The 26,857-nt window shown below is 58.8% G+C and overlaps 2 long non-coding RNA genes and 1 other non-coding gene across 4 annotated transcripts, besides 1 other annotated feature; 1 reads left to right on the top strand and 2 right to left on the bottom strand.

Moving 5' to 3' along the window:
* Positions 1-26,857: part of a sequence alteration artifact (region identified as an assembly artifact by the Genome Reference Consortium. This region falsely duplicates sequence located at GRCh38 chr21:44095806-44253496) that runs on past both edges of the window.
* On the bottom strand, positions 5,553-9,482 carry LOC101928576 (uncharacterized). The gene is made up of 2 exons (XR_244329.5): positions 7,911-9,482; positions 5,553-7,440 (listed from the first exon to the last, which is right to left on the bottom strand). It is a non-coding gene; the product is annotated as an uncharacterized LOC101928576 (long non-coding RNA).
* CH507-9B2.8 (uncharacterized) lies at positions 21,948-23,351 on the bottom strand. Of its 2 annotated transcripts, XR_007067920.1 has the most exons (4): positions 23,291-23,351; positions 22,855-23,189; positions 22,283-22,391; positions 21,948-22,071 (listed from the first exon to the last, which is right to left on the bottom strand). It is a non-coding gene; the product is annotated as an uncharacterized CH507-9B2.8 (long non-coding RNA). The 2 variants fall into 2 exon arrangements; XR_007067919.1 differs by having other exon boundaries at positions 22,855-23,306.
* On the top strand, positions 23,278-26,191 carry LOC107987292 (putative proline-rich protein 21). Its single transcript, XR_007067921.1, has 2 exons — positions 23,278-23,572; positions 23,717-26,191. It is a non-coding gene; the product is annotated as a putative proline-rich protein 21 (transcript).

The following is a 26,857-nucleotide window of genomic DNA, read 5'->3' as shown; positions in this document are numbered from 1 at the left end:
TTTCACATTTTCAGTGGTTACCCTAGATTTTGTGATACACATTTCCAACTATTTCAAGCCCACTTTCAAATAACACTGAACTGCTTGCTAATCGGTAGCCCAAGTATTTTTTGTTTTGTTGTTTTTTGAGACAGGGTCTTGCTCAGTCGCCCAGGCTGGAGTGCAGTGGTGTGATCACGGCTCACTGCATCCTGGAACTCTTGGCTCAGTCGGTCCTCCCACCTCAGCCTCCTGAGTTGCTGGGACCACAGGCGCATGCCACAGCACCTAGCTAATTTTTGTATTTTTTATAGAGACGGGGTTTTGCCACGTTGCCCAGGCTGGCCTCAAACTCCTGGCTCAAGCAATCCACCTGCCTTGGCCTCCCAAAATGCTGGGATTATAGGCGTGAACCTCTGTGCCCCACCAAAAGTATCTTTTAATAACAGTATGTTCCCAATTCTTCACTCCTGTCCCCTGTATCACTGCTATTATTAGTTTCACTTATACATAAGCATATATAATCAAGTACATTGTTATAACTTTAACAAACTTCTGTCTGTTCCATTAAGATTAATGGCCAGGCATTGTGGCTCATACCTATAATCCCAACACTTTGGGAGACTGAGGTGGGAGGATCGTTTGAGGCCAGGAGTTCAAGACCAGCTTGAGCAACATAGTGAGAGCCCATCTCTCCAAAAATTAAAAAACGAGCTGGGCATGGTAGTGTGCACCTGTGGTCCCAGCTACTTGGGAGGCTGAGGTGGGAAGATCGCCTGAGCCCAGGTGATCAAGATTGCAGTGATTACACCATTGCACTCCAACCTGGGTGACAGAACAAGACCCTGTCTCAAAAAAAAAAAGAGTAAGAAAAATAAAAGCTTTTATTACCTTTCTTATTCCTTCTCGATCACTCGTGCCTTTCTTTATGTAAATCCAAGTTTCTGACTTGTACATTTTTTTTCCTCTCTAAAGAACTTTTAACACCTTTTGCAAAGCAGGTCTACTAGTAACAAATTCTCAATTTTTGTCTAAGTCTATTTTTCCTTGACTTTTGAAGGATAATTTCGCTGGATACAGAATTCTAGGCTTGTGGATTTTTTCTCAACACTTTAAATATTTCAGTCCACTGTATTTTTACTTGCACAGTTTCTGTAAAGTCAAAACTAATTCTATAAGAAATGAATGTATTCTTTGTCTGTAGTTTAGGTGTTCCTCCCCACCCGCTGCTGGCTTCTTTCAAGATTGTTTCTTTAACTTTCTGCAGTTTCAATACCAAATGCCTAGGTGTAGATTGGGCATGATACCGCTTTTAGCCTGCTCTAAAACACAAGCAGGACTTGGTGCCTGGACAGGCACCCAGCAGGGGAGACAGTTCCAGGACTCACCCCAGCTGCTGCAAGCGTTTCCCTGCAGGAATGGGATGTGGCTGGGGAAGGGGTGTGGCTGTGGAAGAGGTGTGGCTGCGGAAGCCTTCCAGGCTCCTGCTGGGTCTGGAAGTGCTCCCTACCCCCGTGTCTGTGTTGCTTTCCTGGGGCCTCCAGCCGTGGTGAGAAAGGCATGGGTGGGGGCCGAGGGAGGGGCTGGCTGGCTTTAGACTGTGCTGCTGCGTAGATGGGTGCCTGGCAGCCTCCCTGGGCACAGCCGTGGAAGAGACTGCCATCTCCGTCAGCCTCAGTCACCCCGACCCTGAGGCCCAGCGGCTGTCCTAGAGGGGAGGAACTGGAACCTGGGAAGTCGACCAGGTGTGCACCATGGGGTCATTGGCCGGCACTAACCACCAAGTGGCTTCAGGGGTGGGGGCAGCCTGGGTAGACCAGGCCAGGAGACCGGCCCAAACCAAACGGCTGACTCACGGGATTGTGAGCAAATACAATGATGGTTTCAAGCCACTAACAAAATCTCTCAATTTCACTTAGCGTCATGTTCTCGGGGCCCATCTGTGTTGCAGCGTGTGTCAGAGTTTCCTTCTTATGGCTGAAAAATATTCCATCGTGTGCGTGGGCCACATTTTGTGTGTTCATTCCTCTGGCGATGGACGCTCGGGCTGCTTCCGTGTTTTAGCTGGTATGAATAATGCTGGCGTGAACATGGGCGCCAGGTGTCTCTCTGAGACTCACTTTCGGTTCTGCTGGGCCCACGCCTGGAAGTGGAATTGCCGCGTCATGTGCTCGTTCTGACTTGAGGAACTAACTGCCTTCCTGCTCTCCCTGCAGCTGCGCCATCTTCCAACCCAGCAGCGCTACACAAGGCTTCCGGTTTCCCCACATCCTCGCCGACACTTGTCACTGTTTTTGTTGATAATGGATGTGAGGTGGTTGTGGGGATTTCTTGCCAGGCCTTCCCGGGGAGCTGCTGTTGGCCTCTCGGGTCATTTCTTGGTGGTTTTGCTGTCCTCACCCACGAGCCATGCTGGACACCATGTGACACGAGTCCCCTAAGTGTGGGCCCCGTGCATATTCTCATTTTACTTCTTTATGGAGCCACTGCCGACTGCAGGGTCCGGGCTGGACCCGGGGAGCAGTGGGGTCCCGGAGAGATGGGGCTGCCTGGGCCGGCAAAGCCACCTCTAGGGAACCTGGCTAGCATCCCATCTGGGCTCCTGAAGTGTGAGATTGTGAGGGTGGCCTCTGCTGTGGGTGCCAGTGCTGCCTGAGGCTGTGGTGGGAATGGAGCAGGGCACTCTGTAGCGTGGATTGTCCAGGGAGGTGTTTGTGACAGGCTTCCCAGGGTCACGGGTGCTTGGGAGAAGCAGGAACAGGGCAGGGTCATCCTGGGTGGACCCGGACGACCAGGACTGGGTGCCTGGCCTCAAAAGGACAGACCTCCCTGAGCGGGCAGACCCTGCTCTCGTGGAGCTCAGGACTGCCGGGGCTCCAGCCAGTCCCTTCCCCGCTCCTCCTGGGGACCTGATCTCAGGGCCCTGGGGGCGTGGTATGGACGTCTGACGGGGCAGATTCCATCTCTGGTGATGACTTGGCAGGTCCCCAGCGAGAGGAGCGCAGCACCCTGGCTGGTGCTGCGGTGGGGGCGAGGGGAAGGCGGGGCAAGGCGTTCTTCCCACGGCCAGGCCACCGAGTCGCCTGGAGGGCCTCATGAGGAATGAGTTTCACTGCCCAGACAAGCAGTGTTGGCCAGCCAGGCCTAGTTCCTGATTCCAGCTCAGCAGCTGACTCTCCTGCCATGGGACCTCAGACAAATCATGTGCCCGCGGCGGCTCCAGAGAAAGGGGCTGAGGACACCTGCTCATGGGGCTTGCAAGGACTTGAACTGCATGCGTGCGCGGGTGTGCACATAGGCACGTGTGACGTGTGTATCCGTGCGTGTGCAGGTGTGCACATAGGCACGTGTGATGTGTGTATCCGTGCATGTGTGTGTGCGGGTGTGCAGCGCACCTGTGGGCAGGCAGGTGTGTGTGCACACGTCTGCACATAGTCATGTGTGATATGTGTATCTGTGCACATGTGTAAGCCTCTGGGACCAGGTCCGGTAGGCCCCAGCCTGCAGGTGTGGCATGAATGGTAACTATTTTTACTGCCTTGCAGTGTGAGTTACCTTCTTAGAAAACCACTGCAGCCACAAGAAAAACAAACAGCAGCCAGTCATTTAGAGACACGGGCTGGGTGCTGAATGCAGCAGAGCCTTTCTATGGCGAATGCGGAGCCTGTGGCCGGCAGGAGCCGGGAGGGCATCGTCTCTAAGCCTGCAGCTGGCCGGGTGCTCCCGCTCCTGTGGTGGTGGCAGTCCAGGGCTATCAGGCGCTCTGGCTGTCCCGGCTCCCGCCTCTGCCTGGTGGGCAGAGGGGAGGATTGGCAGTTTGCTCCTGCCATGTGGCGTGTGGCTTGTGGGACGCCCACATTGCCGGTCCTCAGGCTGCGGCTGGGACACACCTTCCGAATTTTCCGAGGACCAAGTGCAGTCACACACAGGACCATGCTGTAAACCTGCGCGGCTCCGAGCGAGTGCACGGGGCTGGCGGGCCCTCGATTCGTCAGCAGTCGGGGTCAGTGCTGGCCCAGAGCCAAGGCGGCTCGTGGGTGTCTGGGAGGTTTGGGGTTGCTCAGAGGAGCCCCCCAGGTCAGACTTGGTGCTCCAACCCCTTCTGGAATTCTTTGGTCCATCCCAGAGCTCGGCTCACATTCTTCTCCCATCTTTTAGGCCTTCTGGAACCTTCCAGGGCCCTGTTGCTCCCACTACTTCTTCTGAGGGCGTGCCTACCACGTGCTGGCTCTGTACGTATTTTACCTCATTTAGCAGTTGCTGCAGATGTGCATTGTAGCCGTATCGGAAACCCAGCGCTGCTGTGGCAAAAAATCACCACACCCCAAACCAGCAGAGATTCACCCCACACCCCCACACCAGCAGAGATTCACCCCACACCCCCAAACCAGCAGAGATTCACCCCACGCCCCCAAACCAGCAGAGATTCACCCCACGCCCCCAAACCAGCAGAGATTCACCCCACGCCCCCAAACCAGCAGAGATTCACCCCACGCCCCCAAACCAGCAGAGATTCACCCCACGCCCCCAAACCAGCAGAGATTCACCCCACGCCCCCAAACCAGCAGAGATTCACCCCACGCCCCCAAACCAGCAGAGATTCACCCCACGCCCCCAAACCACCAGAGATTCACCCTCCCACAGTTATGGTGCCAGAAGTCCAAGGTCAAGGTGTGAGCAGGGCTGGCCCCCGAGGCCGTGAGTGGGGTCTGTCCCAGGCCGCTCCTGGCTTTGTGGCCTGAGGTCTTCCGTGCTTCTTGGCTGGCGGAAGCACTGCCACGGCCTCGGCCCCGTGTCATGTGGCCTGTTCTCTCTCTGTGTGTCTGGGTGGGTCAGGGCCCACCCAGCTGACCTTGCTTTAACCTCGTTACCTCTGTGCAGACCCTGCCTCCAAATAAGGTCACACTCACAGGTCTGGGGTCAGGACCTCAACACATGGCTGTGGGGGACACAGTTCAGCCCAGGAGGGAAACTGAGGCACGAAATGGGGTGCATTTCCTGAGGCCCCATGGCTCATAAGGAGACGAGGGGCTGCGGGTTGGGGTCCCAGATGCCCTCTCAACACAGCAGCCACCATCCTGGCTAGTCCCAGGCCCTCCTGGGTCCCCCGTCTTTACTCAGGGTGGCCCTGTGTGCCTGGCCTGTCCTCAGGTCACCCTGACTCTAGTATGGGACACCCCACCTCAGAGGGCACCTCCTCGGGGTTGGGTTATGGTTTTTTTAAGTCTCTTGGAACGCCCCCCCGATGGCGTGGGCCCAGCTGTTGAGGAGGTGGGGCTGTGGTCTTGGCTGACGGTGCGGCACCCGCATACCTGACCTGGTTAGGACCTCCAATCTGGAATTGCTACTGACTCAGTTTCCCCACATGGAAGCCACCCCTCATGCCAGCGACGGGCCTTCTTTTCTGTCCCCTGCTGTGGCCTCCCTGGCGGGTCTTCTGCACCCTGTGTGGCCTGGGTTCTTGGCCCCAGGGGAAAAGGGGGCTCCTGCTGGGGGCAGAGAGGGAGGGGCAGGGCAGGGCCCGGAGAGAGATCTCAGGATTGTCTTCGGATGGCACGGCCTGGTCCCTCAGGTTCTGATCATTTTCTTCATTTTCACGACTCCCTGCACTTTCTGGTTTTGGGTGAGGCCAAATAGCAGAAGTATTAAAATATTCCTCCTTGGGCGTCTCATGGTGTTTCTGATCTGGGCTGAAACAGGAAGCTCTGTGAGCTGATGTGGCACCGGAAGTCTCTGGGAGCCTGGGCTGTGATCCGGCCCAGCCCACCCTGGTGGGGAACGCGTCCTGGGGACCGTGCTGGGTTTTGGGAAAACACTGGGTCACCCTCTCCCATTGAAAGATGGCCTGGGGGAGCTGGGTCCTGTCTACGTGAGTTTGCCGGGGCCGCCTCGCACACACCGTGGCCAGGTGCTCCCACAGCAGATGTGGGTTCTCTCCAGTCCTGGGGGCGTCCCGGGTTGAGGTGCGGCGTGGCTGTTACGAAGCCTCTCCTTGCAGGCAGGCGGCACCACCTCCCTGTGTCCTTGCGTGGCCGCCCCTCCTGCGTGTCTGTGTCCTCCTCTTTTAAGGACGCCGGTAGGTCAGGTCAGAGCCCACCCTGGTAACCTTGTTTCACCTTTGTCGCCTCTGTAAAGACCCTGTGTCTGAATACAGGCGGATCCTGAAGTCGGGACTTCACTCTGTGAATTTGGGGGACGCAGTGCAGCCCATAACCTTATCTTTTGTGTGTGTGTGTGTGTGTGTGTGTGTGTGTGTGTGTGTGTGTGTGTTTTAAATCTGTATGAGGGCTGATGGCAAAGCAGTTAGCTGTGTTGTGTAGACAACGCCGTGGCCAGAACAGAGCTTGTTCTCGGGCAAAAGGAGAGCGAGGAAGCTGAGCAGGGATGGCGTCCCAGAGGCCTCGGAGGCCCCGACATGGTCCAGGAGGCCCCAGGAAGGCTCTTGCTGTCCCTAAGCCCAGAGGTTTTCAGGGGTCTATGTGAATTGTCACTTTTTTTTCTTTTTCTTTCTCTTTTCCTTTTTTTTTTCTTTTTTTTTTTTTTTTTGAGACAGAGTCTCACTTTGTTGTCCAGGCTGGAGTGCAGTGGTGCGATCCTAGTTCGTTGGAACCTCCGCCTCCTGGGTTTATGTGATTCTTCTGCCTCAGCCTCCCCAGTAGCTGGGACTACAGGTGCCCACCACCATGCCCGGCTAATTCTGTTTTTGTTTTGTTTTGTTTTGTTTTGTTTTTTTAGGAGAGATGGGATTTCACCCTGTTGGCCAGGCTGCTCTTGAACTCCTGACCTTGGGTGATCCACCTGCCTCGGCCTCCCAAAGTGCTGGGATCACAGGCATGAGCCACCACGCCCGGCCCACATTTCCTTTTTTTAATTGGTAGAATCTATACAAAACACAAGGTTTACCACTTTAGCCACTTTAAAGAGCTCACTTGGTGTCCCCAAGGGCCCGTGGTGCCACCACTGCCAGTGCACAGGCCCGGCCCCTCCCCCGCCAGGCCTGTCTCTAAGGCCTTGCCCACCCACCCCTCCCCCTACCCAGGCCTGTCTGTCTCTAAGGCCCGCTGTGGCCACACGTGGACCCCACACCCTGGAGAACCTGGGCTTGTCCTTGGAGGAAGTAATAACAAAGAGCCCACCTGGTCGTGGATCCCAGCTCTGCACCAATGGCCGTGAGACCAGGGCCCCTGCCTCAGTTTCCTCATCTGTCAGTGAGCCTGGACCAGGGTAGTGAGGTAGTGTGGGAGGCCATTGCAGTCCTGGGCACAGCCCTGGGGGCCAGGAGACGCCTCCATCAGCCGTGGGCCCAGGCGCTGCCAGCAGCAGGGCAGTCCCTGAGGGTCTCCCCCGGAGCACTCCAGACCCCCTTCCCCTCCGGATCCCCGCACGCCTCCGCTCCTCAGCAGATGACAGGCCAGCTGCTCTCCTGGGCTGGTTCTGCAGCGCCGACTGAGGTGAGGGCTCCTGTGCAGGTGACACGAAGGAGGGATGTGCAGATGAGGGGACAGGTGAGGGGCAGGGCAGGGCCTCCCTTAACCCACCCCCTATGGCCCTGGCACAGAGGTTCCAGTACCTGCGCTCCAGGGGCAGGGCCTCCCTTAATCTGCCCCCCATGGCCCAGGCACAGAGGTTCCAGTACCTGGGCTCCAGGCAGAGTGTATCTAGCACCCCAGAGACCGAGGCGGGCTGTACCGTTGGCTGCTGGGAGCGAGAGCCCTGGCTGGGTAGGCAGGGGACGGGGAGGGGAGAGCATGAGGGGACCCTCCCAGCAGCCTCTGCATGCGGGCAGCCGGCCTGCCACCCTGGGCAAGCGGGAGGGGCTGCCTTGCCAAGGGACCCTCACAGATGAGGTGTGAGGGACAGAGACCCCCGACGGCTGCTGGAGGCACCCACGGGGCTCCCTGGAGCCTCCCTGTGGTCCTGGGTCCCCTTACCCGATTGTTGCAGGAGGGGCCAGCACAGGGCAGGTGCCTGAAGAGCAGGTGCCGGAAGAGCTACCGCAGCCCAGGCAGCAGGGGAGGAAGTCAGTCTCCTCGGGGGGGTTTCCAGACAGGGGCCGCTTTTGTTGAGGGCACAGAATGTCTCCAAAAGGTCGGTTCGTTATCACATGAGTCACCAGAGAGAGGGGGACGGAGAGAGGAACGCCGCAGCCTCCAGTTCCCCTTCAGCTCTGTGCCCAGGAGCAGTGGCTGGGTGAGGGTGGGAGCCAGGCTCCCCGAGAGGGCAGCAGCGGAGGCTGCACCGTCCCTGTCCTGCCTCTGCCCCTGCCCTGTCCTGCCCTGAGTCCCTGCCCCCTCCTTGTCCTGCCTCGTATCCCTGCCCCCTCCCTGTCTTGCCCCGCATCCCTGCCCTGTCCGTGTCCCTGCCCCTGTCCCTGCCCCTGCCCTGCCCCTCTCTGTCCTGCCCCACGTCCCTGCCCCTCTCCCTGCCCTGCCCCACGTCCCTGCCCCGTCCCTGTCTTGCCCCATGTCCCTGTCCCTGCCCCACGTCCCTGTCCCTGCCCCACGTCCCTGCCCTCATCCCTGTCCTGCCCTGCATCCCTGCCCTGCCCCTGCGCCTGTCCTGTCCCGTGTCCCGCCCCGTCCCTGCCCCTGTCCTGCCCTGCGTCCCTGCCCCATCCCTGTCCGTACCCCTGTCCTATCCCGCATCCCTGCCCCTGTCCCTGCCCCTGCCCTGCCCCTCTCTGTCCTGCCCCACGTCCCTGCATGGGTCCTGGGCCTCAGCACCAGGTTCTGGGCCCGCTTCCTTGCAGCCCCTTCCCCAGAGCCCACCAAAGACCCGAATCCTCACACTCTCGGGACAGGTAGCTGTGGGTGGCTGAGAGGGACTGGCCCCTCCCTGGCCAAGTCCACAATGTCAGGACCCTTGCTGCCCTCCTGCTTCGGGCTCAGCCCCAATGCCCCCGATTTGAAGTGAAGCTGCCCAGTGCCCTCTCTGGGGCCCTCCCAGGAGATGCAGGCTGGAGGGGCTGCCCTGGAAAGCCCTTCCTTTCCCTAGAGAGGTCCCCGCCCTGAGAGGGAAGGGCCCGGGCGATGATTCCAGGCTGGGAGGAGGAAGGCGCGTGCCAAGCGCTCCTCGGAGTTGATGCCCCATGGCGTAATGTGCAGCTGCTGCTGGAGAAGAGATGCAGGCAGATTACTGAACCCTGAGAAATGAAAAAGCATGATCGCGGTCTTGCCAGCATAGGCGGCCGTGGTCCGTGCTTGCAAGTCTGAGGGCGGAGGAGCCCGCCGCCCGCTTCTCATGGGCCCACCCCTGTGATCCAGCATCTGTAAAACTCCCTGGGAGGCCACAGCCTGCCCTGGCCCAGCCCCTGGGACCGCGAGGGCCGTGTGATACTTTCTCCAGTGGCATTTACAGAAAACTTCCCTCTGCCCTACCATTTTAGTTGGCTTTGGGATAGTTTGCAGTATTTCCTGATTAAAATAATGTTGAGAAGAACATTTGGGCCTCTGAGGCCTTTTCCCTAGGGTATTTTCTGAGAAATGACAGAGATTCAAGGGCTGTGAACATTTTGTAGCCATGTTGTGTTATAGAAAAGCATGTGCGTTCCCACATGCGGGCTGCTCTTCTGTGGGATTCTTCAGACTGGACATGCGGTGCGGGGCTGGACATGCAGTTGGGGGGGCTGGACACGCATTGGGGGGCTGGACACACGGCAGGGGGGCTGGACACGCGGGGGGGCCGGACACGCGGCGGGGGGGCCGGACACGCGGTTGGGGTGCTGGACATGCGGTGGGGGGCTGGACACGGGGGCTGGACACGTGGCGGGGGCTGGACACGCAGGGGGGCTGGACACAGCAGGGGGCTGGACACGCAGCAGGGGGGCTGGACACGCGGCAGGGGGCTGGACACGCGGCAGGGGGCTGGACACGCGGCAGGGAGGCTGGACACGTGGCGGGGGGCTGGACACGTGGCAGGGGGGCTGGACACGTGGCGGGGGGCTGGACACGTGGCGGGGGGCTGGACACACGGTGGGGGGGCTGGACACTCACTCGGGGCCTGGATACATGTGGAGGGTCTGGGCAGGCAGGGGCCTGTGTGTCAGGTGCCCATGGCATATGGTATGAGCCCTGCTTTTCTTTTCTTCTTTTCTTTTTTTTTTCGAGACAGAGTTTTGCTCTTGTTGCCCAGACTGGAGTGCAATGGTGCAATCTTGGCTCACTGCAACCTCCGCCTCCTGGGTTCAAGGGATTCTCCTGCCTCAGCCTCCCAAGTAGCTGGGATTACAGGTGCCTGCTACCACACCCAGCTCATTTTTGTATTTTTAGTAGAGACGGGGTTTCACCATGTTGGCCAGGCTGGTCTTGAACTCCTGACCTCAGGAGATCCACCGGCCTCGGCCTCCCAAAGCGCTGGGATTACAGGTGTGAGCCACCGTGCCCGGCTAAGCCCCGCTTTTCTAGATCTTGGGCTGGGGGAGAAAAAGGAAGCCGTTTCCTCTCCACTCCCAGGGCCCAGGGAAAGGGAGGTGGTCCTGGCCCCCTGGGGAGGGCAGGACTTTGGTTGTAGGGTTGGCCCCCAGAGCCAGGGGTGGAAAGGGTCTCCAGGGGAGCTGGTGGGTCCTTCCCCGCTGGGCTCTGCTCAGCCTGTGGTGGCCACGTGGCAGGGGCCCCATCCCAGACCTTCAGCCACTGCCAGCCCGGCCAGCCTGCGTCTGACGATGTCAGTTCTCTCGGGTTTCCTTGATCAGGCTTCCTCAATGCCCAGAGCTTTGGGATACTTCGTGGTGGCTCTCCGGGATCCAGGTGGCCACCGTCCTCCCTGGCTCTCCGTGTTGCCCACTCCTGAGGCCCTGGCTCCTGGATGCTTCAGCCTACGTGTGCCTCCTCGCTCTGTTTTCGTGGGTGCTACCCCTACGCAGGGCCCACCTCCTGGCTTCAGCCCCTGCCCACTCTTTGAGCAGGGGTGGATCTCCCCAACACTCTGGCCCACACAGATGTGCTTGCGGCCAAATGACACAGGCGCGGCAGAGACTCTTGGAGCCTCTTCTTGAGGGGGACTCAACCTTGGGCTTCCATGTGCAACCCTGCCGAGTCCAACGGAGCAGGAACCCAGAGTCAGGTCAGAGAGAATCCCACCCCGATGTCTGAGCTCCAGGAGCAGATCAGACCTCAGTCCTCGACGCCTTCAGCAGGATGCCCCGGCCCTGCCGCACCCTCCTGGTGATTTTCCAGCCACGGACCCCCTCACTTCTCGGCTGTGAACCCCCCTTGTCCTGCTGCACCCAACATAGAGCCCGTCTCTCCCTCACTGCGGGAGTCCATAATGAAGTCTTCCTTGCCATTACGATAAGCACCAGGATAATTTTTCCTTAACAGGTTCTCTCTAGACTGGATCAGGGACAGTCTTGGCTGTAAATTGTGAATTAGCTGTGACTCTGCCACCCACGGTTGCCCGCCAGAGTTCTTTCTAAATGTTCTATCTGAGCCTGGCCGTTGCTGCTGGCTCTGGAGGTGCCAGAGTTTCTGAACGTTAATCTGAGCCTGGCCGTTGCTGCTGGCTCTGGAGGTGCAGTCACACCACCCTGGCTGACACGCCTCGGCCTGACCTGCAGTCTCACCCCACAGAAGGATCTGGGGTGAACGTCTGGCTCCAGGCACTGTTGCAGGGCTGTTGGGTCCTGTGTCTGAGCCCACAAAGGCTTCCTGGGAGCGGCATCGCCAGCCCTGTGGACCCTGCTCCCTATGGGCTTCTGGGTATAGATCAGGTGCCCAGCATGCGCCCCCAGACAGGAGCTCCCCTCTGCCCTGCCTCTGGGACCCACTTTCACCCAAGTCCTGTGGGACTGGCATAGCCTAGGGCCCGGGTGCTGGCAGCATCTGGCTGGAGCCTGGGGCGGGGCAGGGCAGGGCCTTCCAGGCGCGTTCCCGAGCGTGCACTGAAGGTGTTAGCGCGTGGCACCGGAGACACCAGGCTGGATGAGGCTGGACAAGCGCCTCCGCCAGAAGCAGCACAGGCCTGACACAGGCAAACCTCCCGGAGACCACCCCACGGACCCCAGCCCCTGCTGACCCTCCCAGGAGGCGTTGCTGGAAATCCACCCTGAGAATTCTGCTCCAGGAGCTGAACCAGCGGTATCAGCATCTTAAAGCGCTGACCTACCTCTCGGCTGTGTGATATCTAGGGGTCCGTCCCAGACCAGCATCCCCAGGGCTGACGGGTCTGCAGGGCACAGAGATGTGGGATCTGCTGTGTCTCTGCCCCACAGTGGCCATGCCGGGACACAGAGCTGCTGCTTGGGGAAGGGACAGATTCAGACACAGTAGTGGGTTAACCTGAGGCCCTCTCAAAAGACATGTCCACCTAGAACCTCGGGAAGGGACACGTCCGCCTGGAACCTCGGGAAGGGACGCGTCCGCCTGGAACCTCGGGAAGCGACGCGTCCGCCTGGAACCTCGGGAAGGGACACGTCCGCCTGGAACCTCGGGAAGGGACGCGTCCGCCTGGAACCTCGGGAAGGGACGCGTCCGCCTGGAACCTCGGGAAGGGACGCGTCCGCCTGGAACCTCGGGAAGGGATGCGTCCGCCTGGAACCTCGGGAAGGGACGCGTCCGCCTGGAACCTCGGGAAGGGACGCGTCCACCTGGAACCTCGGGAAGGCCTTTGCAGATGTGATCGAGTTAAGGATCTCAAGATTCAAGATAAGGTCACCCCAGGTTGCCTGCGTGGGCCCTGAGTCCAGTGGCGTGTCCTGGAGGGAGACCAGCAGAGGTGGAGGGCACGTCCATGGGCTGAGAAGGGCAGGACTGTGACAGGAGGGAGGTGCAGGGCGGATCCCCAGAGCCACTGCCTCCCCACGCTTGACCTCAGGCTCCTGGCCCCAGAACCATGAGGGAATAAACTGTCCTTTTAAGCCCTCTGCTGTGTGATGATTGGCAGTGCCAGCAATGGGAGCTGATACAGACCCTGATCGGGGACCCAGACACCTGGCAGCTTGGGCTGGGCCCCTTCGAGTTAAAGCTGGCCTTGCTGCTACCTGTCCCTCGCTGAGTCCTCGCTGCGCACTGTGGCTGCACCTGGCAAGCACAGGGAGCCCCTGGGGTCCTGTGGGTGCAGACATGGGTCCCTCGGTCTGGGTGGCTGAGATGGAGCCCCTCCCCAGCTCCGGGGAGCACTGGGCCGGGGACCACCCATGAGTGGTGAGTATCTCTCCCGCTGCACCTTGAGGTCACCCAGGAACCTTCAGAAGTGCTGATGCGGGGACCCCGCTCCCCACTGTCCAGGGTGGACTGGCTAGGCGGTGGCCTGGGCATCGGGACACATTACAGCTCTCCAGGGAGCGCGGTGTGCAGCCAGGATGGAACCCGTGGTCCTGGTGCTGAGGATGGCGGGTGCCTGCCTCCATCTCCGTGGGCCAGCCTTCGGGGCCCCGTTTCCTGGAGCAGCGAGGGCTTCACGTGGCTGTTGAGCTGCAGAAGGAGGGGCCCTCCCAGCACCCCATTCAGAGCCAGCGGAGGAATCTGAAGGCATGGGGAGGGCGGGGTGGAGCCGAGGTTGCAGAGAGGCTGGACCCTGAAGCCTCAGGAGTTCAACTGGCACGGGGTGCGGGGAGTGGCAGCCGGGAAGCCGGCCTGGGGCTTTCTCCTCTCGGCCTCCTTTGCTGGCGTCTCAGGTGGAGGGGCCTGTGTGGCAGGCGGGTGGCATGAGGGTGAGGGGCCTGTGTGGCAGGCGGGTGGCCTGAGGGTGAGGGGCCTGTGTAGCAGGCGGGTGGCCTGAGGGTGAGGGGCCTGTGTGGCAGGCGGGTGGCCTGAGGGTGAGGGGCCTGTGTAGCAGGCGGGTGGCCTGAGGGTGAGGGGCCTGTGTGGCAGGCGGGTGGCTTGAGGGTGAGGGGCCTGTGGGGCGGGCGGGTGGCCTGAGGGTGAGGGGCCTGTGGGGCGGGCGGTGGCTGCAGCGTGGAGATTGTTGTCAGCACAGAATTGTGGCACCAGTTGTTGAGACGCAGTGACAGGCAGATGACTGGCCAGGCAGTGACAGGCAGATGGCTGCCCAGGCAGTGACAGGCAGATGGCTGCCCAGGCCGCGGCCTTGTCTGCACCTGCCTGAGCATGCAGAGAGGCCCCCACACTGGTCACCCAGGGTCCGGGTGTGCCCACAGATGCTGCCCCCGCGCTGTGGGCAGCCCTGGCCCAGGCAGGTTCTCTGGAGCTGCTCCCGCCCAGTGCAGGCCGTGTGCAGGACCTTTGTTTATCCCCCTGGATGTTGAACTTGGCCAGCTTACGGCACTGAAACAAAGGCCCTGACTGCTGCCTGAACCCGCCCCGGGCTCACTTCCATGCCCAGGCCTGCGGGAGGGGCTGGGGTGTGCAGGAGAGTTGGGCGTTGGGAGGCCACCCCACCGCGTGCCTGCAGTGCCCTCTTCTCGGCCCCAGTCCCCAGCATATCCATGGGGTGCCTTCCAGTGTGGGTTTCGGGAACCTCCACATTCCAGCCTGGAGTCCTGGCCATGGGGAAGGGACGCCCACTGTGCTCATCCCGTGCGGCCGCCTCGTGCCCATCAGAGGCTGCACCAAACCCCGTGCGCCCTCTGGGCGATCAGAGCCGGAGGCCTCAAGTGGCCCAGCCCTGCTGGCTGCTGCGGGACCTCAGCTGCTGTGGGGCAGGCGTCTATGGGTTCCCAGGGCCCTCCCCTCCCCACAGGGGTGTGAGGAGGTGCAAAGGGGATGCCTCCTGGCCTGACCCCACGGCCAGACCAGTCCTGTGTGTCCTGAGTGAGGACGCCTATCCCTGAGCCCCAGAAACGCACCAGGAGGCAGGTGTGAGACGGCTGTGTCCCCAGCTCCTGCTGCAGTTGGCCCACAGCGGGCCCCTACGAGGCTGGGCGGTGAGGGGACGGCTCGGACCGCCCGCGCCCCAGGACCCCTGTGTCGGCCTCATCCTGCGCCTCAGCCCCAAACCCTGCAGCTCCCGGGACCCTGGCACCCGGTCACCCTCCACAGCGCCACGGGGCTCCTCTGACCCCACCCTTGTTGCCAGCCCAGCCGGAGTCTGACTTCTCCGTGGTGCCGCCCCCACCCCCGGGAATGACATGCCGGGGCGGTGGAGCCAGGCCCTGGGCCCGGGGGCAGGACAGGCAGGGACCATGAGCAGCTCCACAGAAACCCTTCCCCAGGGCTTCAGGGGCCAGGCGGGACCCCCACTTCCGGGAGGAGACCCCAGTGCCCCTCACGCTCAGGGGTGCGGTGGGTGGAGAGATTCGGAGGGGAGAGCTGGGGGCTCCGGAGGAGGGGCTGTGGGTGGGACCCCGTCCCCCTCTGGCTGCAGCAGGCAGTGAAGCTGCATCAGGGGCTCCACCCTGCTGACCACAGTCCTGGGGCACCCAGTGGAGGCCGGAGACACCAGCAGGTTCTCCTGGTCACATGGCCCCACCTGCCCTGTCCCCCAGAGCCCCCCAGGCTTGGGATGAGTTGCGAGGGGTCGGATGGACGGCGCAGGACACACGACACAGAGTAGTTGTGGCGGTTGCCCCTAGGGAGACGTGGAGAGAGGCCCCAGGGCACCCTGGAAGCGGAGGCTGTGGCTCCGTGTGTCCCAGGGCACAGCACCGCCCCTCACAGCCGAAGCTCTGATCCCTTGGTCTCAGGAAACACTCAGGAAGTGCAGGGCGGGCGTGGGTCTGATTTCAGGGTGAGGGAGCTGGCAGCCCCAGGAGTGAGGAGGCCCCAGTCCCCTTTCACCAAGCCCGTCCTCCCCTTCCCGCTGCCACGACACTGGTGCCTGCAGCCGTGCCAGCTAGGAGGGCGACGTGGACAGGATTTCTCTCTAGAAAGGATCCTGGGGTCCGATTGAGAAGCTGGCTTGAACGTTAGACGCTGTAGCTCAGAGCACTGGGTATGCACCCAGAAGGAGAAGTGCTCATCACATGGTAATTCTTTTGTTTTGTTTTTTTAAGAAAAAGGTCTCACTCTTTGCCCAAAGCAACTTTCTTATTTATCTTTGCATCCTAAGAGTCTAAAACAATGACTGGCATGAAGTATACAAACTATACATCGCCTAGTAAGTGGATAAAACGATTAATTAATTTGCCCAACATTCAAAACGTGATGGGGTGGGATTCACAGCCATGACTTCTCATTGCAACGCTCAAGCTCCTTGTGCTGCTCCACGCCGCCTTTCGGTACACGAGAAGCTGAGGATCCACGCCGCCTTTCCGTACATGAGAAACTGTAGGATCCACGCCACCTTTCAGTAGAGAAGCTGTAGGATCCACACCGCCTTTCCGTACACAAGAAGCTGTAGGATCCACGCCGCCTTTCCGTACACGAGAAGCTGTAGGATCCACGCCACCTTTCAGTAGAGAAGCTGTAGGATCCACGCCGCCTTTCCGTACACGAGAAGCTGTAGGATCCACGCCACCTTTCAGTAGAGAAGCTGTAGGATCCACACCGCTTTTCAGTACACGAGAAACTGTAGGATCCACGCCACCTTTCAGTACACGAGAAACTGCAGGACAAATGACCGTATGCCCAGGTTCCAATGGCAAAACGCCACACCTCTTATGATACTATCTTTGTGCACATAAAATGTTCATTTTTGTCTAATAAATAAGTGACTTGTAATTAGTAAGTGATTGCTCAATGACTTAAAACCTACAATATCTCTAATTTCTTCTAATGGAAACTTCTGAGGCCATTTAGGGACATCCACAGATAGCGAACAGCGACATTGGAAAGAGGACATTGAGTGTGGGGAAGTCTGCACAGTTCCACCTGTTGGATTGTTTGATGTGTGGTGGTGCAGACATGGACACGATCCATCTTGGTTTTTTTGTTTTGTTTTGTTTTTGAGATGATGTCTCACTCTGACACACAGGCTGGAGTGCAGTGGCTCGATCTCGGCTCACTGCAAGCTCCTCCTCCCAGGTTCAAGCAATTCTCCTGTCTCAGCCTCCTGAGTAGCTGGGACTACAGTCACATGCCACCATGCCCGGCTAATTTTTGTATTTTTAGTGGAGACGGGGTTTCATCATATTGGCCAGGCTGGTCTTGAACTCCTGACCTCAGGTGATCGGCCCGCCTCGGCCTCCCAAAGTGCTGGGATTATAGGCGTGAGCCACCGTGCCTGGCCAACACTATCCATTCTAAAGAGGGTTCATGCTCTTCGACCCCAACAAAGAACGGTTTCCTTTGCGGTCGTGGATGGGTAAGAAATCAGCCTTGACCACCTAAGGGCGTAGCAGGGCTTCTGCATTAGGTGACAATTTTAATAATCCTCTGTTTTCCGTTCACACTTAGGAGTCTGTTTCTGCCCTGGGACGAGGACCCAGAGGCCACTTTGACGTTATAGAGCAGGCTGTGTCCTCCGTCATCCTGCTGTAGGGAGTGTTGTCAGCTTTCCCACCACCACTGGCATCTGGAAAGCTTGGTCTGTTTGTAGTGACAGGTCCGATTGCAGGGAACCAGGAGCGTGTCTGATGCATGAGGGCAGAGTTTCTACCCAGTTACCTGCAGTGTGGAGACGAGAGACGCGATCTAACCCTGCAAACACTTTTGAAAAAAAACTAGTGTATAAAAAGGAATTAGGGAATCAAACCTTTCTTAAGGGGCACAGAATAAGACAGTATACACCAGTGTGACCGAAGTTTTTATTTCTGCTGAAGAATTCAGCTAAAGTGCAGCTGCATGATCATAGCTCACGGGAACCTGGGTCTCCTGGGCTCAAGCAAGCCTCCCAGCCCAGCCTCCCACGTAGCTGGGACTACCGGTGGCCATCACCATGGCTGGTTAAGTTTTCATTTTTTTGTAGAGACAGAATTTTGCCATTTTGCCCCGGCTGGTTGCGAACTCCTGGCTTCAAGTGATCCTCCTGCCTCGGCCCCCAAAGTGCTGGGATTACAGGTGCCAGCCACCGCCCCTGGCCTGGCAGTTCTATTTGAATTGTTTTAGGGACTGCCATCCTGCTTCCCACGGTGGCAGCACTGTTTTACACTCCTGCCAGCAGCACCCAAGGGGTCTGGTTCTCCACATCCTTGCCCGCACTTGTGATTTTCTGTGTTTTGATAATAGCCATCCCGATGTGTGCGTGTTGTGAAAACTGTGATGTACGTAGAAAAGTGTAAAGAATAAGAGTGTGGACGCCCAGCCCGTCCCCTCAGGAAACGCTTGAAAGGCACCCAACCTCTTTCAGGATCCGTGTTCCATTCGCATTATTTTTTCATGCGCCATTTTTGAACACAAGTTGCAGACATTTGAACACTGGCCCTAAAAACATCAATCAGCAAACTTCTGGGAATGAGGACACTCCCCGCGTCGCCGCCATCACAACAAGGCCTTCGGAAAACTCCACACAGCATCTAGCCTCCCACTCGCGCTCGGATGTCCCAGGTGCCCTCACTCGGTGCCACGCCTTGCCTTTCTGGAATCGTGCCCCAGCTTGTTAGAGTGGCACTGACTCTGCTGGGAGGATGTCCTGCCACCGGGGTTTGTCTTTTATAACAACTTGTCCCTCCTTCCCCTCCCTGGGTTTGTGATAACCTGGAGGTTAAACCTTAGAGCAGCCGCTCTTCACCTGGGGACTTTGCCCCAGGAGGCGTTGGCCAACTCTCTTGTGCCTGGAGGAGGAAGGCAGATTGTGCCTGGAGGGGAGAGGCTACGGGACGGAGCGGAGCGGGTTAGGTGCTCTGCCCAGTTCTCCTGCTTCTGCACGTCTCTGCCGCCTCTGCCTCCCTGCTCATTGCCCTCTCTGTTCCCGGCCTCTCCTCTCACCCTCAGAGTAAATGTCACATCCCAGAGGGCCACTGGTGCTCAGGCCACCTCTCACCCTCCCAGCCTGCTGTAACCTGGACCCCCAGTTTCCCCCATCTGCCCTGCCCAGGCCCCTCAGCTCCACACCCAGGACCCCAGGCCTGACACTCTTGGGTGTGGCTGCACGCCTAAGGGCAGAGGGCTTGGGTAGGGGGTAAGCGGGGGCTGTGGCCCTGCTGCCCCCGCTGCCTCAGTGGGAGAGGCCCTGTGGGCAGCCTGAGAGCCGAGGCCTCAGTGGTATTTCCTGGGAGGGCAGCCCCCAACCTCCTGCACCCACAGAGGGGCTGGAGCAGGACACAGGGTCGCTGGCCCCGTCCTCGGGAGCACCACAGGGCACAGGCCTGGCCTGGCCCGGCCATAGCCCAGAGCTGACCTTTCCTTGTTGACTTGTGGTCCGGGACTTTCCAGGACAGGCTTCTTGCCACAGAGAAGGCTCCCGGGGAAACCCCAGGAGTGTGAAAGTGGAGCAGCCCAGGTCCCTGCCCTAGAAGAGCCACCAGGAGCCAGGACACCCCCTCCCGGGGACCCCTCCCACCCTCCAGCCCCAGCTTGACCCCAGACCTCTGCCCTCAGCCCCCTGGCTGTGTCTGAGCACCTCTGCCCCAGGGTCTTTGCACGGACCGTTCTGCCTGGAAAGTTCTTCCCGAGATCTGCTGAGGCGGCTCCTCCTCGGCCGCACGCTCCCTGAGGCTTCTCACCCGCGCACACACGGGCACCGCCTGCCTCCCGGTCTCCTCTCCCCAGAACCTTAGCTCCAGGGTGCAGGGACTCGCCCACGTGGTTCCAGCCCAGGGCCTGGCCCGAGCAGGTGCTCCCTCTGTGCTTGTTGAATGAAAGCGAAGTGACCAACAGCACAGACTTCTTCCGAGGAAGAGAGAGAGCAGAGAGCAAAGCAGAGGCCTGAGGGACCCTGTGACCCCCAAGCCCACCTGGCTGGTTCCCTGCAGACAGCCCTGGCTCCTGCACTGCTGCCTCTCCCCGCCAGGGACCAGGCCCCCACCAGCCAGGAGCCCGGGACACGTCCATGTTCTGGGACTTGACCTTCGTCTCCCCACAGCCTGCATTTCCACCCTGCCTGGCCGCAGCTCTGGTTGGTGGGAAGGGGCTCCAGGCGGCCCCGCTCTGCTCCGGTACGTGCAGACATCTGGTGTGCAGTGACCTTCATCCCAAGCAAGGCCTAGAAAGGGGGAAATCGAGGCAGCATAGAGAGCCGGCCCAGGGCAGCCTTCTGGGCTGGAGCATGGGGGTATGAGGGGGCTGCCGGTGTGGTGTGGGTGGCCCGTCCCCTGGTGATGAGTGTGTGGGATGGCGCTCAGCCTCTGCCTCTGCGGCCTGCTCAGTGGGCCCTCCCACTCCCTGGAGACGTCTCTGTGTGCTTGTGTTACCAGAAAGGAGTCCTGATCCAGACACCAAGAGAGGGTTCTTGGACCTCACACAGGAAGGAGTTCAGGGTGAGTCCAGAGAGTCAAGTGAGAAGTTTATTAATAGAGTAAAGGAATAAAGAATGGCTACTCCAGAGGCAGTGCGGAGGGCTGGGCTGCTCAGCTGAATATTCTTATGCTTATTTTGGTCATTTCTTGATTATATGTTAAACAAGGAGTGGATTATTCATGAATTTTCTGGGAAAGGGTGGTCAATTCCCAGAACTGAGGCTTCCTCTCCTTTTTAGACCGTGCAGGGTAACTTTCGGACGTTGCCATGGCATTTGTGGACATGGCGCTGGTGGGAGTGTCTCTTAGCAGCTAATGCATTAGAATTTGTGTATAATGAGTGGCGAGCACGACCAGAGGTCACTCTAGTCACCATCTTGGTTTTGGTGGGATTTGGCCACTTCTTTACTGCAACCTGCTTTATCGGCAAGGTCTTCGTGACTTGTATCTTGTGCCAACCTCCTGTCTTGTGACTAAGAATGCCTTACCCTCCCGGGAACGCAGTCCAGCAGGCCCCAGCCTCATTCCACCCAGCCCCTATTCAAGACGGAGTCGCTCTGGTTCAAACACCTCTGACAGTTGGACAAGTTGGTGACAGCCAGGAGGGCCCGATGTGGACATGTGACAGGCACCCTGTGGCCATCAGATTCTCAGGAGGAAGAAATCCCCTTCTGAAATAAAGCACCCTGAGAACCGGCGGGAAGGAGCGGGGACTCCGTCGGGGCTTTCCAGGGAAGCAGCCAGGGACTTGCCCTGATTTTGGTTTCTCCAGGTTGGAGCCGCCCCGCAGGCTGCCTCTGCCGGCGGGAGGAAGTGAGCAGCTCCTGCGGAACCTCTGGCTGGCACAGAGCCCGGGGGCGGGGGAGCCCTCCCTGCCAAGAGAAGCCATCAGGTGCAGAGGACAGCACTGACTGGGCCAGTGGGGCGTTCTCCAGCTGGGTCAGCCGTGGCCCCCGCCTCGGGCTGGAGTCCGGCAGGCAACTGCTGCAGAAACGGAGGCAGAGGCAGGTGGAGGAGCCGCCTCCAGGCGGAGGAGCCCCAGCAAGATGGGGCGCTGGAGTTGAGCTCAGGCTGTCAGCCCCAGAATCCAAGCTCCTTGCCCTCGTGCTAACCCAGCCTCACTAACTGGCAGCTGGGGGCACCCTCCCAGCCTGCCAGGGACACCACACTGGGCACACACCACTTCGGCTGCAGGACCCCATCCTCACTGGCTGTGGCGGGAGACTGGTGAGCCGTCCTTGTAGACGGGACTCCCCCTAGAGTCCTGAAGGACTGTCCTGGGGGCTGGGGAGCTGCTGGAGGCAGCAGCCTGGGCCAGGAGATCACTGGGGTGGTGAAGGGGAGAGGGTTAGGGCTTCGGTAGGGGGACCCCCTATAGACCAGACAACGGATTCCACAGCCACCACCCCCACCCCTGGCTGACCTCACCTTCTGCAAGGGACCCAGTCCTGGACAGGGTCACTGAATTGCTGCCCCCTAACCTGTCCCCACCCACTGGAGACCTCAGCCTGCCCTGCTCACCCTGGCACCGGCCAGCCTGTCCACGCTGGGTGCCCAGGGCGGGAAAACAGGTGCGGGTTCCCATGACTGCATCTCAGGACTCCTGTCTGCGCCCCTTCTTGGCGTGTCTTTAAATGTCTTTGTTAGGCCGCTCATTATGATCCCTCCTGTTTTAATGGAAAAATCTTGTAAACACTGGGAGGACCAGTGGTCTTTTTCTTTCTTAAATAGAGATGAGGTCTCACTATGTTGCCCGGGCTGATCTCAAACTCCTGGCCTCCAGCGATCCTCCTGCCTTGACTTCCCGAAGTGCTGGGATTCCAGGCGTGAGCCACTGGGCCCGGCCTAAATTCTTCTTCTGTACTTGCTGGTTTTCCCAAAATGTGCACACACTGATGTTAGAATCGGAAAGAGTATCACTCCTGTGACAGCAGTGGGAAGGTGTGTGTTACAGCCACAGGTGTCCACAGGATAGAATCTCACAGCAACAGACGTGCTAATGTGGGCACTGGAGGTTGCACCCTATACCGGGCACTGCCCATCCCTCCCCAGTTCCCAGACCAGCTACGCCAGGGATCTGGAGTCCCCTTCCATGAGTGTGACGAGGACAGGTGAGGTCTCCTGAGTCCTTACCAGCAGGTCAGGCACCCTGTTGAGTCGTCTTCAGAACCCTCAAAAGTGCACGCCCCTGCCCTGTGGGTCTGGGCCACGATCCTGGGACACAGTTCTGAATGCTGACATCCTGAAAGATCAAAATCCCAAAATTATAATTCTGGAAAAACTAATTCGAAAACATTCTGTAAAAGACATTTGTTTGGCCGGGCGCGGTGGCTCATGCCTGTAATCCCAGCACTTTGAGAGGCCGAGGCGGGTGGATCACGAGGTCAGGAGATCAAGACCATCCTGGCTAACACAGTGAAACTCCGTCTCCACTAAAAATACAAAAAATTAGCCGGGTGTGGTGGCGGGCGCCTGTAGTCCCAGCTACTCGGGAGGCTGAGGCAGGAGAATCGCTTGAACCTGGGAGGTGGAGGTTGCCCTGAGCCGAGATTGTGCCACTGCACTCCAGCCTGGGCAACAGAGCGACTCTGTCTCAAAAAAGAAAAATAAATAAATAAATAAATAAAATACATTTATTTATTTATATTTTAAGGGGGATTTGAGAAACTGAAAAACACGACAGCACCCCTCATAGGCGACTTTACCCAATAAAGTCGGTGATCATAACATTTTCTCCAGCACAGACACACAGGTGTGCTCATTCAGTCACGTGGATATGAGTTATGTGCAGATGAACCATTCACAGAGAAACTGGTCAGAACACCAACATGTTAGGTTTTGATCTTTCAGGAGCTCAGGATTTGGGATGACGGTGTTCGGGGTCAGGTCTTTTGAGGTTCTGATCAGCGCCGCCTCACCGCGCGATACCAGTGCAGAACGGGGAGACCCAGGTCGTCCAGGAGCTGGACTCCAGCCGGGACAGTCTGTCTGTGTCAGAGCCCGGGTCCCTCATGGGGCACTCAGCCTTCACTCGGGTTTCCTGCAAAAATGGAGAGCTTTTTTTTAAGTAGGGATGCCAAGGATGGCAGGCATGAAGCGGGCAGGCAGAGGTGGGAGCTAGTTAGCAGTATCTCCAATTACCGTGATGGGCAGAAAGAAGGTTCTAGACAACAGTGTCTTGATGAGGTCAAGAGGAACTGAAACCCCCACCCCACTTCCCCTGCCCCATCTGGTTCTGGGAAAGGGGAAATGCAGGTGCCGGCTGTGCGTGGGTCAGTGGCCCGCCCCCGCCTCTCTGCCTCGCGGACGTCCAGACTTCCGAGGCCTGGCTGTCTGCAGGGCGGCCATTGCTGTGCGCGCGCGCGCGGGCATGTGCATAGTTCAGGGAAGAGGCTGCATTTCACAGAGACTCTGTCCCAGGAGGTAGGCATTTTTTCTTTTCTTTCTTTCCTTCCTTCCTTCCTCCCTTCCTTCCTTCCTTCCTAACTTCCTTCCTTCCTTTTTCTTTCTCTCTCTTTTCTTTTCTTTCTTTCTTTTTTTTTGACAGAGTCTTGCTCTATCGCCCAGGCTGGAGTGCAGTGGCGTGATCTCGGCTTATTGTAACCTCCACCTCCCAGGTTCAAGCAATTCTCGTGCCTCAGCCTCCTGAGTACCTGGGACTAGGGGTACGCACCACCACGCCCAGCTAATTTTTGTATTTTTAGTAGAGATGGGGTTTCACCATGATGGCCAGGCTGATTTCGAACTCCTGGCCTTAAGTGAGCCTCCTGCCTCGTTCTCCCAAAGTGCTGGGATTACAGGCGTGAGCCACCATGCCCAGCCGGCATTTTCATCTGGACTCTGCCATGGGGCTCAGCAAATCAGATGTGACCTGGTGACAGGTGCCAAGAAGGTCTGGCGACCACAGGTTTCTTGTCGGTTTCTGCCTGGGACCCCTGCACCTCCCTACCAGTATTCCCAACCCAACGAAAGACCGGCCAAGTACAAACCAAGGGCAGCCCTGAAGCCCAGGACCATGAGGCCTGGAAGGCCCCAGGACAGGTGATTTGTGGCCCTGGTGTCTCAGGTCAGGAGCAGGGCAGAGCCACCTTCCTCCCTCCCTGTGCGGGGCTGCATGAGCTCAGGGACCTTTGGACCTGAGAAAGGTCAGGCTCACTTCCTCCCCGTGCCTGCGGTTGGCCGCAGGGGGAATATTCTCCTGACCCGAGTCCTGAAGCCCTGGGCGTGGAGTTTCCCTGGACTGGGAGAAAGTAAACACCGAGGGACTTGCCAAGAGGAAATGGAGAAGCCCAGGTGTTCTGGGCGGAGCTGAGTGTCCCGCAGGGGGTTCCGCAGCTCCTCGCCTCTGGAAGACCAAGGACAGCTTTCCCCAGGGCTACAGCCTCACGCTCCCCTCCCATCGTGGCTGGGCCTTTACTTGGGGGTGAGTGTCCTACAGACGAGGGGCTTAAAGCTACAGGAATGCCTCGTCTCGCAGAGCTGGAGGCTGGAAGGCAGATCGGCCTGTGAGGGCCGCGGTCACTCTTGGTCCTGAGCCCTCCTTGTCCGGCTGCTGGTGTCACGGGCACTCCTTGGGGTTCCTTGGCTTGTGGGAGCATCGCGCCGGCCCCGCCTCTGTCATCAGGCCGCCTCCCCTTCTCTTCTCGAAGGACACCTGCTACGGCGAGGGCCTCTCCAGGATGACCTCATCTCGTTCTCCACTAATCACAGCTGCAAAGATTTATTTCCAAATAAAGTCGCCTTCTTGGGTTCCAGGGGACCTGATTTTGGGAGGCGCTGTTCCCCCAGCACAGGGATACAGCAGGCCCTTGGCCTCATCGGACATCTGGTGCCCGCGCGCCCTCTCACTCACGTTGTCCAGGCCTCTGCCCTTCTCAACACCCGGACGTGGGCGTTCAGGTGTCCTTCCTGCCCTGGCGTATGCCCCACTTAGCTGAGTGGGGGGCTTAGACCTCCGCCCCATCTGCAGTCCTCCTGGGGCCTGCCAATCAGACCCCCTGCAGCTGCATGGTCTTGGGGCATTGCTGTAAGGCCCTGGGGCCTTTCTGAATCCATCTGCAAGCTGGAGCTGAGTCCAGGAGCTGAGGCCGGGAGCAGGAGGTGAGGTTGCTAGCTGAGGCTGGGAGCAAGAGCTGAGGCCACTGGAGCTGAGGCTGGGAGCTGAGATGTGGAGCTGGGGCTGAGGCTGGGAGGAGGGGTTGAGGATACCTGGAGTTTGGGAGCTGGGCTGAGAGGCCAGGGAGGAGAGCCCTGCCACCACCCTGCTGCCCCCCCTCGCCACCCCCCTGCTGCCACCTTGCTGCCACCCTGCCTCCTGTTCCCAGCCCTCTGGCCAGTCCCTGTGTTCGTTTTCTGTTTTCTACTTACCAGAAACTTAGCAGCTTGAAACAGCACCCGCTCGGCACACATTCCTGTTGGGAGTGTGAAATGGTGCAGCTGCTGTGGGAAATGGTCTGGTGATTCCTCGCAAAGCTAAACAATTGCCATAGCACCCTGCAGTTCCACACCTGGGGATGCACAGCCAGAAATGAAGACGGGTGTCTGAGCAAAAACTCGGACATGAGTGTTCACAGCAGCGTTATTCACAGTAGCTAGAAGGTGGAAACAACCCAAGTGTCCGTGGACCGAGGAACAGATCAACAGGCCACGGCGCACGCACGACGGAGTATTGTGCAGCCAGAAAAAGGGTGAAGCTCCCTTACACATTATGGCGTGGGTGAGCCTCAGAAACATGGTGCTAAGTGACTGCGTTTATATAAAAAGCTTGCACTGATGTAAAGTGTCTAGAGTAGAGAAACCCAGGAGATGAAGTGGATTCGTGGCTTCCAGGGCCTGAGGGCAGAGGGAAGGGACCGGCTGCTGATGGGTCTCCGTTTGGGAAGATGAACGAGTTCTGGAGCTTGCTTGAGGCAGTGTCTGCACAACAGTGTGAGTGCACGGAATGTGGCTGAATTGGACTCTTTAAAATAGTTCAGGTGGGCAATGTTATGTTATGTGTGTTTTACTACCATACAAATAAGTAAATAAATGGACAAGCCTGCACCATCTTGTAGCTCACACCTGCAGGTCAGGAGCCGGCCTGGGTCCCCTGCTGGGGCCTCACCTGGGGCTCAGGCCTCCTCCCAGGCTGGTTCAGAATCCAGGTCCTTGTGGGTGTGGGACTGAGGTCCCCGTTTTCTCGCAGCTGTTGTCAGGGACTGCCCTCAGCTCCTAGGGCTTTCTCTCGGGTCCCTGCCTGGTGGCCTCTGGTGGCCCCTCCATCTTCAAGCAGCAGGGGCCGGTGGAGTCCCCCCATGAGTGGCTCTTTCTGGCCATCCCTTCTGCACCCGCCAGAGGAAACTCCGCTTCTAAAGTGTTGGTGTGATGAGGTCAGGCCCGGAGGCACCTCCCTGTTTTAAGGTCAGCGGGTTGGTGAACTTCACCATGCCTTCAGAATCCCTCTGCCACACAACACAGCCGTCTTGGGAGTAACACTGGAGGCAGAGACCACGGGCGACCTCCAAGATCTGCTTACAACAGTCGTTTCGACAGAGTTGAGTCAGCTTGGGGCTTCTCCGAGTGACTGTGCACAGGGGTCCTGGGGCTTCTCCGAGTGACTGCGCGCAAGCGTCCTGGGACTTCTCCAAGTGACTGCGCACAGGCATCCTGGGGCTTCTCCGAGTGACTGCGAACAGGCGTCCTGGGGCTTCTCTGAGCGACTGCGCACAG

The sequence above is a fragment of the Homo sapiens genome, chromosome 21 (assembly GCF_000001405.40).
Source record: "Homo sapiens chromosome 21, GRCh38.p14 Primary Assembly".
Classification (NCBI taxonomy): domain Eukaryota; kingdom Metazoa; phylum Chordata; class Mammalia; order Primates; family Hominidae; genus Homo; species Homo sapiens.
Note: the sequence above shows the minus strand (reverse complement) of the source record. Positions and strands in the feature narration are given on the sequence as shown.